Here is an 18,022-nt window from a genome sequence, read left to right on the forward strand (position 1 = left end):
CTTCCCTCTCTGGGCCTCAGCTTCTGGGTTGGTAGAGTTAGACAGGAGTGGTTCCTCATCAGGGACTCTTTCAGTGCTAACATTCTGTAAATACAAGTTTGTTCCCACAGTACAGTGTGAGCACACATGTTTATGCAACCCCAGAGGACTTTAAAATTGATGTGTGAATGTCTTCAGTGCTTATACCATGGAGGCTAGGTTTCCTTCAAGCCATTCATTCATTCATCCATTTTTCTAAACATTTACTAAGCTCCTACTATGTGCAAACACTGTTATAGATGCCAGGGCTTTCTAAAACCAAGATCTGACTGCATCCCAGCCCTGCTTAGATACTTTCAATGACTTCTGGTTGACAAGTGCAAACTCCAGGCCACATAACCATGTCCTTCCCTATTGCCATGCCTTGCTTTTGTTCCTGCAGTTTCCTCTCTCTAGATTGTCCCTCCAAGTCATCTAGACTAGCCAGCATCTAACGATCCAGACTCCTTTAAAATTTTCCTTCCCTTCTGAAGCCGTCATAAAATCTGCTTGGTCCTTGTCCCTAACCCAGACTGGTGTAATGCTTTCTCTGTGCTCACACAGCACTTTGTATCACCTCTGGTTACTGTGCTTGGCACTTTTTCAGTTCATTGTTTGTGTGGCTTTCTTTCCTGCTAGATTTTCAATACAATGAGGCAGTGACAGTGTTTTATTCATCTTTGAAACCTCAGCACCTGGCGTACTGCTTGGCACATGAGCAATAATTAAACATTTGATGAATGAGTTTGTTGAAGCTTTAGAAGTGGATGGGAATGGTGATATGAATAATATGACAATAATAGTGACTATTTTATATCACGTACTTCTTACACATCAAATTCTGAGCCAAGTGCTCTACATTCATGATCTGTTTAGTTTTAATCCTCACAACATGCTGTGAGGTAGGGGCATAGGGGATTGGTGAGACACGGTGTCTCTGGAGTTAGAGAGGCCAGGGTTTGAATTCTGGCTCCATGAGTGCCTTGTACACTCTTGTACTTTGTGCCTTGCAGTAGGGAGCTTGGTTAAGGAGATGAGTGGGGCTAAATGCTCCCTGTGCTTACCAAACCAAGTACTCTGAAATGGGGCTGCACCTGCCCAGAGGAAAGCCGGTGCCTGCCCATAGGGTGCCCTTTTTGGAAGTGGACGAGAATGGTGATTTCATATTTGAAAAAGGGCATGCTATGGGCAGGCACTGGCCTTGTCTAGCTCCAACCCATGCCAGCCATGTGGCATTGCACAACTTACTTAACCTTGCTTTTTGCCTAGCCTTTCTCATCTTTATAATGAGATTATGACACCACTAACCTCACAGAGTTTTTGTTAGGGTTAGGCAGGATAATGCATGTGGTATGCTTGGCACTTGTCTCAGATACATATTCCATAGACGCTAGTTTTTATTATCTGTAGCAATAATAGCCCTATTTGCCAAATAAGCAAATTTAGAGAGAAAAGAGTTGGCTGAGAGCAGAATATGGGGGCACTCCTCCATTTAGAGGCAGCAGAAAGAACCAGGAGAGAGAAGGGCTGAAAACATTGTGCAAGGGTGAGTTAGAGGAGAGGCTGGTCAGGTGTCAGGAACTTCTGAAAGATTAAGCTGGAAAAAGCCTGCGAACAGTCCCTTGGAGCTGACAGTTAGAGATCACTAATGATCTTTGAATGAGAAGTATCATGACAGCAGTGGGAGAGGAAGCCAGATTGCTGTGGGCTAAGGTGTCAATGAGTGGTAAGGCAGAAAGAGTAACTCTGACCTATTCATCAGAAATTAACTTGTGAAGTGCTTGTTTCTGTGCCCCCAAATTCATATGTTGACATCCCCAACCCTAAGGTGATGGTATTAGGAGGTGGGGCATTTGGGAGTGATTGGGTCATGAGGTTGGAACCCTCATGGATGAAATTAGTGCCCTCATAAAAGAAGCCTGAGGCTGGGCGTAGTAGCTTATGCCTGTAATCCCAGCTACTCGGGAGGCTGAGGCAGGCGAATCACTTGAACCTGGGGAAGCAGAGGTTGCAGTGAGCTGAGATAGCACCACTTCACTCCAGCATGGGTGAAAGAGCAAAACTCCATCTTAAAAAAAAAAAAAAAAAAAAAAAAGAAGCCTGAGACAGACCTTTTGCCCCTTCTGCCATGTGGAAGGTGCTGTCTATGAGCCGAAAATTGGGCCCCTACCAGATACTGAATCTGCCTTGATCTTGGACTTTTTCAGCCTCCAGAACTGTAAGAAATAAATTCTTGTTGTTTATAAGCTACTTGGTTATGATATTTTTTATAGAATCCCAACCAGACTAAGACACGAAGGGTCAGAGGCAAATAGGTCAGTTGCTTTAGGAGGATTCAAATTGATAAACACCTTCCACATACTTTATTTCTTTTTTTAAAATTTTATCCACATGCTTTATTTTAGGTAATAGGTATCCCCTTCAAAGGGCCAGATCAAGGGAGCTCCAGGGAGACATGGACCCCTGCCTGAACCCCATATCTATCTGTGGAATCTGGGTATCTCTCCATCTCTCCAGACTCCTGGGATGATAAGGAGGATGATTTATCTCAGCTACTCAAACACTGAATGGGACTATCTTGTATTTAAGGAGAGAAGAAAGTTGAATGTATTTTTTTTAGGCAGAGTACAGTCAACAGAATACAAAGCGATAGAAGGATGAGGTCAAGGACCCAGGTGGATGGATTCATCCTGGTGGATGGTGGGGATGGAGAATGCAAGGGAGAAGACAAATAGACAAGTCAAGGATGCAGCAGAAGGAAGATGAAGGACTCTCTGATGGTCTTTCTTGGAACAGAAAAATGTAAGGTCTGCGGAGAGTGCAGGGACCAAAAGGTGAAGGGCCGTGCATTGGTCAGGACAGGTTAAATGCTGCAACAAAAAATCCCTAAGTTTTAGTGGCTTCCCATAATGAAAATTTATTTCTTTTCATATCAAGTCCAGACAACGTAGGGTTGGCAGGAGCCTCTGCTCCATGCAGTGATAAGGATCCAGGATCCATCCATTTTATGGCTCCCTCATTTTGTGGGGCCTCAAAGTCCTTTTCTGAACCTTCTTCATCTGTTGGCAAAAGCAGGAAGAAAGAAAACATGGAGGATTGTGTAGGAGATTTTATAGGCCACTCCTGGAGGTGTTGCACATCACTTTTGCTTATGTTTTATTGGCCAAACTTCAGTCACATGACGAATCTTAACTGCAAGGGAGGCTAGGAGGCATCCTCAAACAGTGTGCACAATTCCATCTTGTCTGTGTCCTCAGTGCCCAGTGCCTTGCACAACGTCTGGGCAATAGTGGATACTCAGAAACATCACTGAATAAGTACGTAGGTGAACATGATCTCATTTGGTCCTCACTATTCTCTCTACTGGTACCCTGCTTGAGGTTCAAAGACAACATAGACCTAATGTCCTAGATATGAGCTAAAGGTTGGGCTTATGCTTAGAGCTGGTCTTCCTATGATGCTGATATACTGCAGTGATCCATTCATACTCTTTGCACTTGTATGTTTGCTAGCTGGGGTTAGTCCTGAAGTCTGTAGTTAGTGCCTCTGGCAGAATTATACTGCCTTCCTCTCAGGGAAAGAAATATCAGAGTTTTTCTTTAAAAGCCCAGCACTATAACCAGTTTGAGTTAATGATTCTACAAGTACATTAACCAACTACAATTTCCAATCCAAATATGAGATAACCAGCCCATGATTTGGCTAACCAGATCCTCCCTGAACCATACAGCCCCTTGCTAAACTAGCAAGTCCGAAGATGAATGGACATGTTACTGACTGAGCTAACAAGTCCCCATTTAAGCTAACTAGTTCCTAGGGTCACAAGGTACCACTGATTCGACTGTGTCCTACAGATAAAGTTTAAAACCCAGGACTAGGGTTAATCTTCTCCAACACCTTTATAATGACCCTTTTTATGGATAACATACACTCTAGAAGGGGAAGGAAAGCTGGTGATGTGAGTCATAACTTTCCTAAAGGTCAAATAAAGGGCTCTTTATCAGGCTGGCGAAGCTCGCCTGCAAGTGCAGCATGATGCGAAACCGCGTCGGGCAGGGAATGCCAAGGATATTTTTATAAACAACTCCAGAGCCATCAACAATGTGCGGCTGGTGCAGAGATTCCCATATTTGTAGATGATATTTCATGAGCCAGGGTGCCTCTGAATGAGAGTGAGTGCCAACAAGCTGAAGAAGGAGAGGGAAGCAGAAGCAGGCAGTTCTAACACAAGTCAGTGTTTCAGGCCCGTGGAGACACAGGGGCTGAGGCCGACATCTCTGACTCACTCAGCCTGGTGTGGGGCAGTAGAGGCAGTGCTGGATAGCAAGGCGTTGGGTGGATGGGAAGCGAGTAGGGTCTCCTAGTGCCAGGAGTCCTGCCCAGACTGCAGAAGGCAGCTGGGCCCTTAAGGATAAGAGTTCTGATGGCAAAGGAAACAGGCATCCCATTCAAAGGGCAGATCCATGGAGCCCTCAAGGAACATGGACCCCCCCGCCTAAACCCCAAGTCATCTGGAAAATGTGGCCATCTCTCCAGCCTCCTGATATGACAAGAAGGATGAATTTCCTCAACTACCCAGCTCCAGGCAGGACTGTGTCCCATCTCATGATAAGGCAACTCATTTCAAAGCAATTTAAAGTCCAGGCTTTGGAGTCAGTAGGTTCTAAGTCCCCAGTTACCACCTAGTAGCTATGTGGCCATGGGCAATTCATTCAACCTCTCTGGGCTTCGGTATCCTCTTCTATAGAACAGTGATACTATTTTGCAGGTTAGTGAAGATTTATTTAATGAGATTGTGCATGAAAAAAGCCTAACCAAATGCCCAGAAAGCAGTAGGTACGTAATATACAAGTTTGATTCCCTTCGCCTCAAGCCTGGCTTAGCGCTCTCCGGACCAGGCTTAGGCCTCCCCTTGTCACAGTGGAGCCTTGGATAGGCATGTGCCATCACTTCTGCAGTGCCCACCTTAACTGCCTGCCCACCAGACGTGGGATCCTGCCTTGCTTCCCTGGCCCATGTGGGCCTGCTGATGGCTCCAACCTGCCTGGCAGGAGTTCTCAGGCTATGATCATTCTGAGATCATTCAGGCTTGTAGAGACACAGGGGGTGAGGCTTCATTCTCAGGTTATGATCAAGACTCATGCCCAGCATACTTATTCTTGGAAATAGCACCGTGCAGGCAGGCAAGGTACTGGCAGGTATGGATCAAGGCTGGGAACCTCTGTCAGACTTCACGTAAAGAACTAAAGGCTGCTCATGAATGAAGGCAGCTGTGGCTGGCCTGCCCTCTCCTTCATGTCTCTTTCTAACAATGTCCAAATTAATGTTCTCCAGCTCTGCAGAGGAAATATTCTAAAGCATAGTAGTTTAAACTAAAGAAGGACTAAAAGTCTGACAAAACTTCTACCATGTAATTTATATGTGCTGAGCTGATGTGGATGGGTATATGTTCGTGGTCAACCAGGGAGCCTTCCACATTCTCGAGTCAAGTTGGAGTGGTGTTTATTGTGGTCTAGGGAACTCTTTGGACAGGCAAGACTCCAGGCCAGTGTTTATGACAATGGGGGATCTCTAGATCACCTTTCCCAGGACATCCAGGGATGCTTGTGCACATCTGCACACTACATTTTAGGAACTCTATCCTTCCTTCTTTTTTTTTGTTTCTGTTTTTTGAGACAGAGTCTCGCTCTGTTGCCCAGGCTGGAGTACAGTGGTATGATCTCGGCTCACTGCATCCTCCACCTCCTGAGCTCAAGAGATTCTCCTGCCTTCATCTCCCAAGTAGCAGGGATTATAGGCATGTGCCGGCACACCTGGCTGATTTTTGTAGTTTTAGTAGAGATGGGGTTCCACCATGTTGGCCAGGCTGCTCTTGAACTCCTGACCTCAAATGATCTGCCTGCTTCGGCCTCCCAAGTGCTGGGATTACAGGCGTGAGCCACCACTCCCAGCCCATCCATCCTTCTTGACTCCATCTCCATCCTTCTCCACTCACTCTGCACCAGCCACCGTGGTCTTCCCAACTTGAACACCCTAAGCATTACCCCTGGAGCCTCTGCTTCCACTCCTCCTCTTGCCTGGGAACTCTTTCTTCCTCCATCTCCTTCAGGACTCATCAGAGAGCATCTCACTGGCCATCCTTCATAAAACGGCACCCCCCACAAACTACTATTCCCTTATCATGGTGATTTTTCTTCTTACAACTTAGCTTCAGACCCATTACTACTTATTTTTTATTTACCATCTGTCTGTCTCCTACAAAATCAAGCTCCATGAAGACAGGTTTTCATTTTCATTTTTTTCACTGCCGTCTGCTCAGTTCATAAAACAGCCAGGCCCCTAGTAGGCCTTTAATACTTGGTCAATAGATGTGGGACTTGACCTTCAATTTGGCCTGTTGTCCATATATATAGTGAATTAGGTAGAAAGCTATCATTAATCACTTTACACAGATGAGGAAACTGAAATTCAGAGAGGTTAAGTGACTTGCCCAGGGTCACTAACTAGTTAGAGAGAAGGTCATAACCAGAACCCAGATATCCTGAATCTCAATATTATGCAAATGATGTGAGCCATTTGTGACTCCTTAATTCTTCAGCCCATTTCCCAAAGGACACCATGTTGTGTTGCCTTAAAGACTGCCTTTAAATGGAGCACTGACTCCATTTAAGCTTGATTGATTCTGCTCACAGACTTCTCAGAAATTGGAATTTAGAGGTGATAGGCAGAGACTAGTGCTTTTTAGTACAAACCACTTTTCGGTTTGTCCAGCGTCTACTCTGAACTCTGTTTATTCCAAGTCTAATGCAGAAAATACATGCACTAAAAAACAAATTTAAAATAAATGATAAGTGAGTTAGAAACTGCCTGGGGATGTCAGGAACTTATGCACCGTGCTATGTGGGTTTTGAGTAAATATTTGCTTTGCAAGCCAGGAAGCAATATGTATTTACCAAGGCAGTCTCAGGCTGAAGGGCACACATGCTACTTCTGGGGCTTGGCACGATCTCTCCAGAGAAGTGTGCACGTGGGCCTAAGCACCACGGCGTTCTGCAGAGAGGAGGCAGCTTGGCATCAGAAACCCGGGTTCTCATTTGAATTCTGCCCCTCTCTAGTTGGGCAAATTTGGGCAACTTACTGCTCTCTCTGGGCCTTTTTAGCCCTTAACATCCTATGACTTTAAGACAGACCTGAAAGACTTGTATCAAAATAAAAATAGTTAGAAAGAATAATAAGACCTAGTATTTGATAGTACGACAGGGTGACTATAGTCAATAATAATTTCATTGAACATTTAGAAATAACAAAAAGAGTATAAATAACAAAAAAGAGAACATTTAGAAATAACAAAAAGAAATAACAAAAAGAGTACACAGATGAGGAAACTGAAGTTCAGAGAGGTTAAGTGACTTGCCCAGGGTCCCCAACTAGTTAGAGAGGAGGTCATAACCAGAACCCAGGCATCTTAACACAAGACATAAATACTTGGGGGGATGGATACCCCCTTTTCCATGACGTGATTATTAAACATTGCATGCCTGTATTGAAGTATCTCATGTACCTCATAAATATATGCACCTACTATGTACCCACAGAAATAAGAAATAATAAAATAATTAAAAGTAAAAATTAAGAAATAGTTTTCTGGTCAGGAAATGGTTCAGACGTGAGAGGGCGGGGAAGAAGTTGTGAGTGCTTTCCTGTCTCTTTCTTCTTCTATCTTTTCCATTGAGTTAACTCTTTTCTCTCTTGTTTTTACTCTCAATTCAAGCATGTCTTTCTCTAAGCACTTGTAACCAATGCCAGAACTTCCTGAGGGCCTTTGCTGTGTTCTTCAACAACAACTAGTACCTGTGCCGAAAACAATCTGTGCTTTCAGGATAAGTGTTTGGCTATGTGGGGTGATGCGGTGGGCAGTGCCTAGAGGTTCCTCTGTCTAAAACATCACTCATCAGATCACACAGTGGGAAAGATGCTCACTGAACACATTCACTCAGCAGCTGCATATTGAGCTCCTTCCAGAGGGATATGTCAGCCAACAGAGCTCAGCCTGGCCCTCGTGAAGCTTAAGGTCTGGCGATGGAGAAATGGTTAGGGAATCAGCCCTAGTTCATGCTCCCGTGAAACTATTACAGGAAGCTGTAGCCACAGGAGGGGCACCTCCTTCCAATCTCAGTCTTGGCGAAAACTCTGGCAAACCTTTCCAAGGTATAATATGTGGCTTCTAAAACAAGATCTGAAATTATTCAGATAATTTCAGATAATAACTTCAGAGAGCTGAAGTTATTCAGGCAAAGGTGAGGAGGGAGAAAGTGTTCCGGGCTGAAGGTATACGTGTGTGTAAATGCAGAGGCCAGGCTGGGGGTGGATGGATTCAAAGAAGGCAGAGAGCAGGGGGGCTGGAGTGGGAGAGGGAGGCAGGAGATGAAATTAGAGAGGAGAGGGGGTGGGCTGGGTGTTGCCTAGAGCCTTGTGAGCACTTGAAAGAGTTTGGGCTGGCCAGGCACGATGGCTCATGCCTGTAATCCCAGCACTTTGGGAGGCTGAGGCAGGTGGATCACCTGAGGTCAGGAGTTCGAGACCAGCCTGGCCCACATGGTGAAACCCCGTCTCTACTAAAAAAACAAAAAACAAAAAAAACAAAAATTAGCTGGGTGTGGTGACACGTGCCTGTAGTCCCAGCTACTCGGGACGCTGAGGCAAGAGAATCGTTTGAACCTGGGAGGCAGAGGTTGCAGTGAGCCGAGACTGTGCCATTGCACTCCAGCCTGGGCTACAGAGCCAGACTCCGTCTCAAAAAAAAAAAAAAAAAAAAAAATAGTTTGGGCTTTGTGCCCAGGGCAGTGGGCAGTTCCTGGAGCTTGGGAATGTCACATTCAGATTTGTACTTTAGCAAGGTCACTCCTCACCTCTGCAGAGTGTACAGCCCCTCTCTGGAGGGAGGCAAGGCTGGAGAACCAGGGAATGGGTGACCGGGTGAGAGAAATCATAGAGCAGAGGAATCTTTTGATTCCAAGAGCAGGTCCAGCTGTGGAGCTTCCAGAGCAGGTTTCGTCTGCTGTTCTTTCTCAGACCCCTGTGGTTCCTTTTCTCCATGTGGCCACAGCATTCTCAAACTTGATTTTAATACATTCTGGGGTTTTGTCACATTAGAACAATGGGATACAACCCCTTTGAGCATGAGAACTGTTTCTTAACGTAAAAGACTTCACCCCCACGTCACGGTTCTGGTGCTTTTAGTATCTGTTAATTGAGAAAATAACTAAGGAACAAAAGCCTCCAGGAGATGGAGGCACACTTGAGAATTACCCACGTCTATATGGGAGCCAGGATTTAACCAGTCTGTTGACATGGCTGTTGTAACGTATGCATCTGTGGAGCCATCTGAAAGAACTCTGCACCCCCCACCCCCAAGGGGTTGGGAACCGTTGCGCTGGAACATGTGTGTTAAGAAGCCACATAGACATCTGTCCCCAGAGTGCAGTGCATGGCTGCCTTCTCTGTAAACCGTGGGGTGCATAAACTCAGCTGGTTCTAATTGCACAGGGCATGCCATATTGTTGCCCGATGTAATGTCAATTTTTATTTATTTGTGTTTGTGAAAAGCAGGGCTGATTAGACCACTTAAAACTGCACAGGCTGGTTAGAGCCAGGCTGGCGTTAGTGATTTCAGCTGCCCTCCCCAAAGTCATCAGCGCTCCCAGCTCTCAGCCTCCCTCTGAGAATATAAAATAGGGGCCTTGTGCTATCATGATTTCTATTTCATCCTGACTCTTATAAACTACCATATAAAAAGCAGCCGCTGATGGTTTTTTTACATTTCAATTTCATTTTGAGGCTTGGAAAATCACAAAATAAAAATAGCCCTGAGAGTGGAAAGTTTGGGGGAGTTTGTTTAGCTTTCTTTGAAATATACTTTGTGAAGAAATGTCAGTCATGAGATCTCTCTTGGTGGAGTGCTTTACTGTTGGTGTAATTTTTTTACATCGCTTTCTCCTGTGTAATCCTAAGGGAGACCCTGTGAGGTGTGAATGATTACTATCCTCATTCTGCAAATGAGACAGAAGCTCAGAGAGATGAAAAGACTGGCCTGGGCCAAGATGGCATGACCGGGAATGGCAGAGTCAGTCCAGGTAAATCCTCACCCCAAATCCTGGCCTCCCCTTACAATCTTACGTCTCTCCATGCCTGGTTCCTGCCTTCCTCCTTCCTCAGGTGTCCAGACCATGTCTGGACAAACATAGGCTCTGGCTTAGTCACCAGGCAACTTCCTTCCTGCCAAGAAACCTACTGCTCGGTATAAGACTATTTACTTACAGATCCTCTGGGTCCCCTTGCAGGTGGCCAGCTCCTTGAGGACAGGGCATTTGACTTTGTCAACCCTGTGTCCTTAGGACCCAGAAGAGGGTTTAGTACATAGTAGATATTTGGTTAATGTCCTCCAGATGGAAGCATCATTGAATAAGAAAGGTTGTTTTTTTTTTTAATCATTCTATTTCATTCCATTTTGGTCCTGATTATAAATTGGCCATTAAGAGATTGATTAAGGTCTTGAAGTTATTACTGGGCTTATCATTTTCTAAACTGTGTTTTGAGGAATGTTCTGAGATATGTCAATAGGCATTCCCCTAAAATTAAAATTTTCGTGGTCATAGAAGTTTGGGGAATACTGATTAAATAAAATCAACAGGCTTTTTTAATTGCAGTTGTTCTCAAAGCATAGATCCTTCTCCAGGTCTGGTTCCCTTCAAGATCTCCCCATCTGTATGAGTTGGAGGCATACTTCTCCTTTCTCACAGTTGTTTAATGAGTAACTTTTAAACACACACATCTGCACTTGTACACGGAACTCTTGTCCTGAGCGGCCCATCGTTTGCAGGGCTGCTTCTCTCACGGTGTCACCAGTTCTCAGCAAAGCCACGAGTGTGTATGTTTCTCTTCTTTATCACCTTCTCTGCCTCCACGCATAGCCAGGCCATAGACCTCCCAGTGCCTGAAAAACTCCCTTCCCTTTTGCCTAAAAAGTACTAAAGTCTCTTTCATTTAAAGAAATATTTCCTTGTTCATACTGCTTCCTCAGCCTGTGGCTCCCTTTTACTTCTGCTCTTTGACTTCAAACTTTCTTGAGGAGTTGAGCACATCTGAAGTCACAATGCCTTCCTGAGGGCAGTCTGCCTCCAATGAGTAGTGAATGCAGAGGAGTCAAGCCAGCCTCTTTGCCCCAAGTCAGGATTACTCTGCAGGTCCATCCAAGCTCCAAAGCTCCACCTGGGATTAGCTGAGACCTTTGCTTCAACACGCCAACTTCCTCTAGCCAATTCTGTTCCTTCACGTCTGTCAAGGTATTTATTCCAAGAATGCTCCCCAGTTCCTATATGCTGATGTCCATCTCCAAGTCTGCTTCCCAGGAGACCCGACCTGCAGCAGTTGGTTCTTGGAGTAGCCAAGAATGTAAATATTAATGGGAAAATTTTAAGCTGCATTTTGAGCTGGCAGTAAGAACGCCGTCATTGGTGGTAGATGGAATAGAGATGGCTCCTGGCACAAAGCAGTACAGTTGTGAAAATTGCCATCATGGTGAACTGGAAAGGTATATACATGCAAGGAATATTGTGGTTGGTCAGGTGTTTGGGTAATATGGAGTCATAAAGAGAATGAAGTTGGATGGATGTATCTGAGAGTTATTGATGCTTTTGAGAAAGATAATGAAAGGCTGAGAGTATATATTTAGCAGCATAGAAAGAAATTCTCATCTCCTGAGATCTGGAATAGAAAGAGCTGAGGATCAGGCCCAGGATTTAATTATAAGAGAAGTAGAGCTTCTAGACCCTGATGGGGCTATTCCACCAAGGTTGAGTCCCAACCGGGAAGAAATGGAACCCTGTGTTATGGCAGGAGGACATCTGAGTTGATGCACTTCAAAATCTTGAGTGTCCAGATTCCCCTGAATTCTTTGGGCTGGCAGAAGTAGCCCCCCACTCCCTCTTAGAGGCCAGTGCTTCCCCTGTGCTTGTAGACAATGTAGAGACCATTACCCTTCAAGTGAACACATGACCTCCCTCTTTACTCACCTTTTGGCCACCAGACAAAAAAAGATAGAATTAAATCAAAACACATCCTTGCCAGGAAAGTACTGAGCCTATTCAGGGAAGAAAGAAACTAGATTTCAGGGAAGCTGTAGGACCTAACCCACAAGTACAGAAGCTGGGAGAGTATGTGTGGGCCTGGACTCTGAGAGTGCTGGATCAAGGGGAGACCGACCATACAAGTGGATGAGGGAGAGTTTATAGGTATGGCAGCAATCTCCCTGCCTAGGACCCTGGGAGGCAGTGTTAGCGCACCTCCTGGTGACTCTTAGAAGGCTGGAGAGGGCTATAACCCACAAAAGTGAAGTGGAAATACCAGAGTCACTATGGAAGACATTGAAAGGAGAGATTGAATGGCTCAGAGAACTGTGCATACCAGAATGAATAAAGTATGTAAGGCTGGTAAATCCACCAGAAGACTCTTGCGCAGGTGGGCTCCGGAAACACTTCGTTTGCCAATGCAATAAGCAACACACTGACAAAAAGACCATCATCACGGAGAAGCTCAGTGATGGCCACTCTCTATAGACTAGAGTTAATGCTGGGAGATTTGGGCTCCTAATAACAGTAGGGATGATTAGATATTAAAAATAGAGGCCAGGTTTCAGCATTTAACTATGAGAAGCAAGGGAGGTGCAATTATCATAGTAACAATAGGAATGATAAGATCTCGATAACAATAGGGATGATAAAATCTCAAAAATAGAGGCCAGATTTCAGGATTTAACTGTGAAAAGCAAGGTTGGCACAATTATCATAGTAAGTGGCAAGATAGAAAAGCCCAATCTGCTATGGAGATGGTGTAATGTCCCCAGTAGGTCAAATACGCAGGTCTAGGAACCAAGGGGTTTGTGTAGGAATAGCCCCCTTATCATCACTTTCAGTTATTCACTTGGGGAATTTGTGCTTCATTTTCACAGCCCTGGTTTCTAGAGGCTTAGCAGTGTTGGCTCACAGAGGGGAAAATGCTTCCACCAAGGGACACAGCAAGAATCCCATTAAATGTTAAGCCACATCTTTCTCTCTAGTCCCTTCAGGATCCTGGCAGGAGTAATTGATCCTGACCATCAGGAAGAGGTAGCACTGGTGTTACACAATGGGGGCAGGGAAGAATATGTTTGGCACCCAGGTGATCCATTTGAGTGTTTCTTGATACTTTTTGCCCAGTTTTGATGATAAATAGGTAAGTGTAGGAGTCATTGCCTGAGAAGGGCAGAGGAACAAGATTTCAAATCCCTCGGATATGAAGGTCTGGGCACCCTCACCAGGTAAGCTATCTAAACCTGCAGAGGCAGTAGCTGAGACTGAGGGGAGTGATAGGAGACGAAGAAGATGCTGAGTATCTGTTTTGTCCTTGGGATCAGGTGCAGCAGGCAACACATTAGTTTACAGCATTAACCTTCCTCTTTTAAGTTTCTCTAGAAAAAGAGGTCCACTAGAATCCTAAAAGATCTGCTTTCAGGACACACACCAAAGGAGTGGATCTGAGCAACATGAGGCATGGACTGGCATGGATGTTGTGGCGCCCCAGCCAAATTCTGTCTCCCCACCCCCAGGATCAAAGCACTCATTCCCCCAGCTACTAAGAGTGTTGACCATTGACAGCATATGGCTGAGTCCAGTCCCAGAGGCTGCCCTCAGCTGAAGAGAGTTGCCTCGCTCAATGCCACACACCTTCCTTAAGGGCAGCCCTGAGCATAATGGGTCATTGCTGCGTGGTCATAAAAGCTCAGCCCCATTGCCCCAATTAGGAACAATGCTTCAGGGCTCTTCAAACACCAGAGCTCTCTATGGAATGGGATGAGGGCTTTTGTGTGACTGCGTCACCACCCAGCTTCACTCTGTGCCCAGTCCTATTCCTTTGCTTCTTCCGCAGATCGCAGTTCTGAGAACCCTCCCAAGTGAGTTTTCAGCATGCTAATCTTTTACTCAGAGTCTGTGTTCCGGAGAACAGGGAGGCAATACAAAGCAACCTGCAGTTCCAAACAACAATAAATTCCAAGCTGGATAATCAAAAAATATGTATATATTAATATATATGTGGAGATATATGTATAGGCAAATCATGGCAAAACTTCAGAAAATCAAAAAAGATATTTAGAGATGGGAAGAAGGAAAAGATAATGTCAGAAAGGCAAAACTTTTCTCAATAGAGCAGCAATTTTTCTGAGGGCTGACTTCTCTAGAGAAAATATTGAAGCCAGAAAAGGGTGAAATGAAATGGTCAATGCAGTGACATAAAATAACCTAGAATCTCATACCCAGGAAAATAACCAGTCAAAAATAAGGGCAAAATACGAACGTTTCAGAAAAAAACAAAAATACAAAGTTTACAAACAACAGACACTGAATAAATGTTTGTTAAGGAATATATCTCAGACAGAATAGATGGAGGGTGCAAGGACAGATGGTGAATGTGTATTTTGGCAAATTTACAGATAAAACTTAAGAAAACGTTTAATTTATGAAATGATAATAATGTCTAGTGTCTGTTGGGGGCAAAGAGCCTAGAATAGACAAAAGTAGCATGTGAATTTAGAGGAGTGGGAGATCAGATTTAAGGCACCCTGAAGTCATAGTATGTTTGGGGAAAAAAATACTATTTAAACTTTGTCCAAAAGAATGACATAGCACTTTAATTAATTAATTCCAAACTTGTAGGGGAAGAACTAGGATGGGGAAGAGAAAAAATGCAGTCAATCCAAAGGAGGTAGGAAGGGTGGGTGTAAAACAGGAAAGGCAGAATGAATAGAAGGATAAATAGAAATAAGAGAGTAGACATAAATCCAAATAAGTCAGTAATCAAAATAAGGGGAAAAAATTCTGGGCATAGTGGTGTACCCTTGTAATTCTGACTACTTGGGAGGCTGACGTGGGAGAATTGCCATAGCTCAGGAATTCAAGATCAGCCTGGCCAATATAGCAAGACCCCATCTTGAAAGAAAAAGAAAGCAAGAAGGAAGGAAGGAAGGGAGGGAGGAAAGAAGGAAGGAAGGAGAAGAAAGGAAGAAAGAAAGAGGGGAGGGAGAGAGAGAAGAAAGAAAGAAAGAAAAAGAAAGAAAGAAAGAAAGAAAAAGAAGGAAGGAAGGAAAGAAGGAAAGAAGAAAAAGAAAGAAAGGAAATAAGAAAGGAACGTGGTGGCTCACGCCTGTAATCCTAGCACTTTGAAGACTGAGGCGGGTGGATCACGAGGTCCAGAGATTGAGACCATCCTGCCCAACATGGTGAAACCTCGTCTCTACTGAAAATACAATAATAATAATAATAAGCTGGGTGTGGCCGTGCGTGCCTGTAGTCCCAGCTACTTGGGAAGCTGAGGCAGGAGGATTGCTTGAACCCGGGAGGTGGAGGTTGCAGTGGGCCAAGATTGCACCACTGCATTCCAGCCTGGGGACAGAGCGAGACTCTGTCTCAAAAAAAAAAAAAAAAAAAAAAAAGATAAAGAGAAAGAAAGAAAAGAAAGCAAGCAAGAAAGAAACAGAAGGAAAATGGATTAAGCTGTCTTGTTAAAGCACCAAGACCCTCATACCGCATAGAAACAAACTCCAGCTATGTCCTTTCTATAAGAGACTAACTAAATAAAATACAAGGACAAAAAAAGTTTGAATGTCAAAGCCTAGAAAAAATATGTCAGGAAAATATTAACCAAAAGAAAGCAGGCCAACAAAACAAAACAGACTTTGAGGAAAAAAGCATTTAAAAAGATAAAATCACTACATAATGGTAAGAGTTTCGATTTGTTAGGAACATAACAGTTGAAAACTTATATTTACCTAATAATACACCTTCAAAATATAGAAACAAAAACGGTTTGATCTATGAAGAGGCATTAACAAATCCTTCACTATTTTAATACAGCTTTCTTGGTTATTGCTAGATCAAGTAGAAAACAATGTTGGCAAAGATATTTGAGATTTGAACAGCATCATGTAAAAGCTTTCAGGACACTGCTTTGATTTATCATCTCCCCCAGGTCTCCACTTCACCTCATAAACATTCCCATCGCTCTTGTCCTGACTTTTTCGTTCACACATCTCAGGGTAGTCCTTGATTTGTGTCTGCGCCACCAGTTTTATTATCTGCCTCTGGTTTGCGGCTTTACTCATATTCTCAATTTTGCCTTCATAGTTTCTTAAGCAAGATTTCTCTCTTCCAGTATCTTAGCCAAAGAGAAGCCTAAGCAGGGCTAGACTTTAACCCCCTTGTCTTCCTCAAATTACAAAAGGAGTTGGGGGACAGGTTCAGACATCATATAAATGTTAGTGCTTGGCACATGTTAGGTAAGTGCTCATAAATGTATGTAGAACAAAAGCAATAAATATTAACTTATTTGAAGGATTTTTCTCCCAGCATCATTTACTTCTAGATCAAAGTGCTTAGTCATATCAGACCCTAATCCCTAAATGCACAGAGCTTTGTCCATTTTCCTTCTCCCAGCCCTGCATCCCTACACATTCCAGGTCTTTATCTTTCTTCTCTAGTCCCTACCTCCTACAACTTAGTGCCAACCACAGAATGACAGAGGCTGGGGATGGTTCTTCCAGTAGAGCTCATGGCAGAGACAGCAGTGGTATATGGAAACTACCTCATATGCAGCGCTCTCCCAGCTGACAGCCTTCTTAGAAAATGAGAATTCATCTGGCAATAAATAACAAGGGCTACAGAGCTGTTCCTACTCTTTGACCCAGTAATTCCACTTCTGGGAATTTTCTCTAAGGAAATAACTTAAGGGGGAAAAAAATCCATCTGTCTAAAGATGTTCACAGCAGATCAATTCATAAGAAAGGAAAACTGGAAACAATCCAAATTCCCAGTATTGGGGAAATGGCAGGCAGATTGTGACACAGTATCACAATGGAATACACTATAGCTATTACAAAGGGCAGTTATATGCACTAGGCCAATTCTTGGAAGTGTACTTGTGAAGTTACATTCTGAGAGAGCAGCGTACCCGAAAACTCACCATTTATTGTCTATTGCTTGTAAGACACTCCAAACCTGGTTCTAAGGATGATGAAACTGAGGCTCGAGGCGTTTATTGCCCTGCCTGGAGAGAAATTGGAATTCAAGACTGGATCTCTCTGATGCCAACGTCCATGTCCTCCTATACATGTAGCTTCCAGCTGTGTCTAATTTTCCAGCGAAATGGAAAGGGAACAGAGAGTGATCCAAGCAGATTAGAGTTCTGTTTTTTGATTTTTTTTGAGACGGAGTCTTGCTCTGTCGCCAGGCTGGAGTGCAATGGCGCGATCTTGGCTCACTGCAACCTCCGCCTCCCGAGTTCAAGAGACTCTCCTGCCTCAGCCTCCCGAGTAGCTGGGACTACAGGCAGCCGCCACCACGCCCAGCTAATTTTTGTATTTTTAGTAGAGATGGGGTTTCACCATGTTGGCCAGGATGGTCTCGAGCTCTTGACCTCGTGATCTGCCCACCTTGGCCTCCCAAAGTGCTGGGATTACAGGTGTGAACCACTTCACCCTGACTAGAGTTTATTTTTAATTGTCTTAATAATGGTAAATGTTTAAAATTTTTTTAAAAAGAGGAATGAAACAGATCTGTCTCATGAAGACCAGGCCCGACCATAGCTCGATCCAAGGGTCTGTGCCAGGTAGACACCCACATTACCTATCTGTCTCCATTATATACCCAAATACCCTGAGAGGCTTGTTCAGTGCGCACATGCTTTCTTCCCTGAACCCCTGCTCTGCATTCAAACTTTATGTCTGTGACACAGTGAGCTACTGCTTGTGGTAGAAATATGGATATTTATTTTTGGTTTGTTTGGAGCCAGAAAGAAAGATTGAAAATCACTGGTTAAAATATTGTCCTCAAAAGGTCCATGTGAAAACCCAGGAGCTTGTGACACAAATGAGAAGAATGAATGTTTTCCAATTTTCAACATATGACTTGATATAGGC

At 44.0% G+C, this 18,022-nt stretch overlaps 1 long non-coding RNA gene across 2 annotated transcripts in view; it reads left to right on the forward strand.

Moving 5' to 3' along the window:
* The window catches only part of LOC105378771 (uncharacterized), a 59,685-nt gene that overhangs the window by 26,014 nt on the left and 15,649 nt on the right, over positions 1-18,022 (forward strand). The window contains exon 1 of one of the 2 annotated variants that reach the window (XR_947456.2): positions 9,490-10,151. The exons of the other annotated variant lie outside the window; for it this stretch is intronic. This is a non-coding gene — a long non-coding RNA (uncharacterized LOC105378771). Of the gene's footprint in view, positions 1-9,489; positions 10,152-18,022 lie in introns of those variants that run through there. 2 annotated transcript variants of the gene reach the window in all.

The sequence above is a fragment of the Homo sapiens genome, chromosome 1 (assembly GCF_000001405.40).
Source record: "Homo sapiens chromosome 1, GRCh38.p14 Primary Assembly".
NCBI lineage: Eukaryota > Metazoa > Chordata > Mammalia > Primates > Hominidae > Homo > Homo sapiens.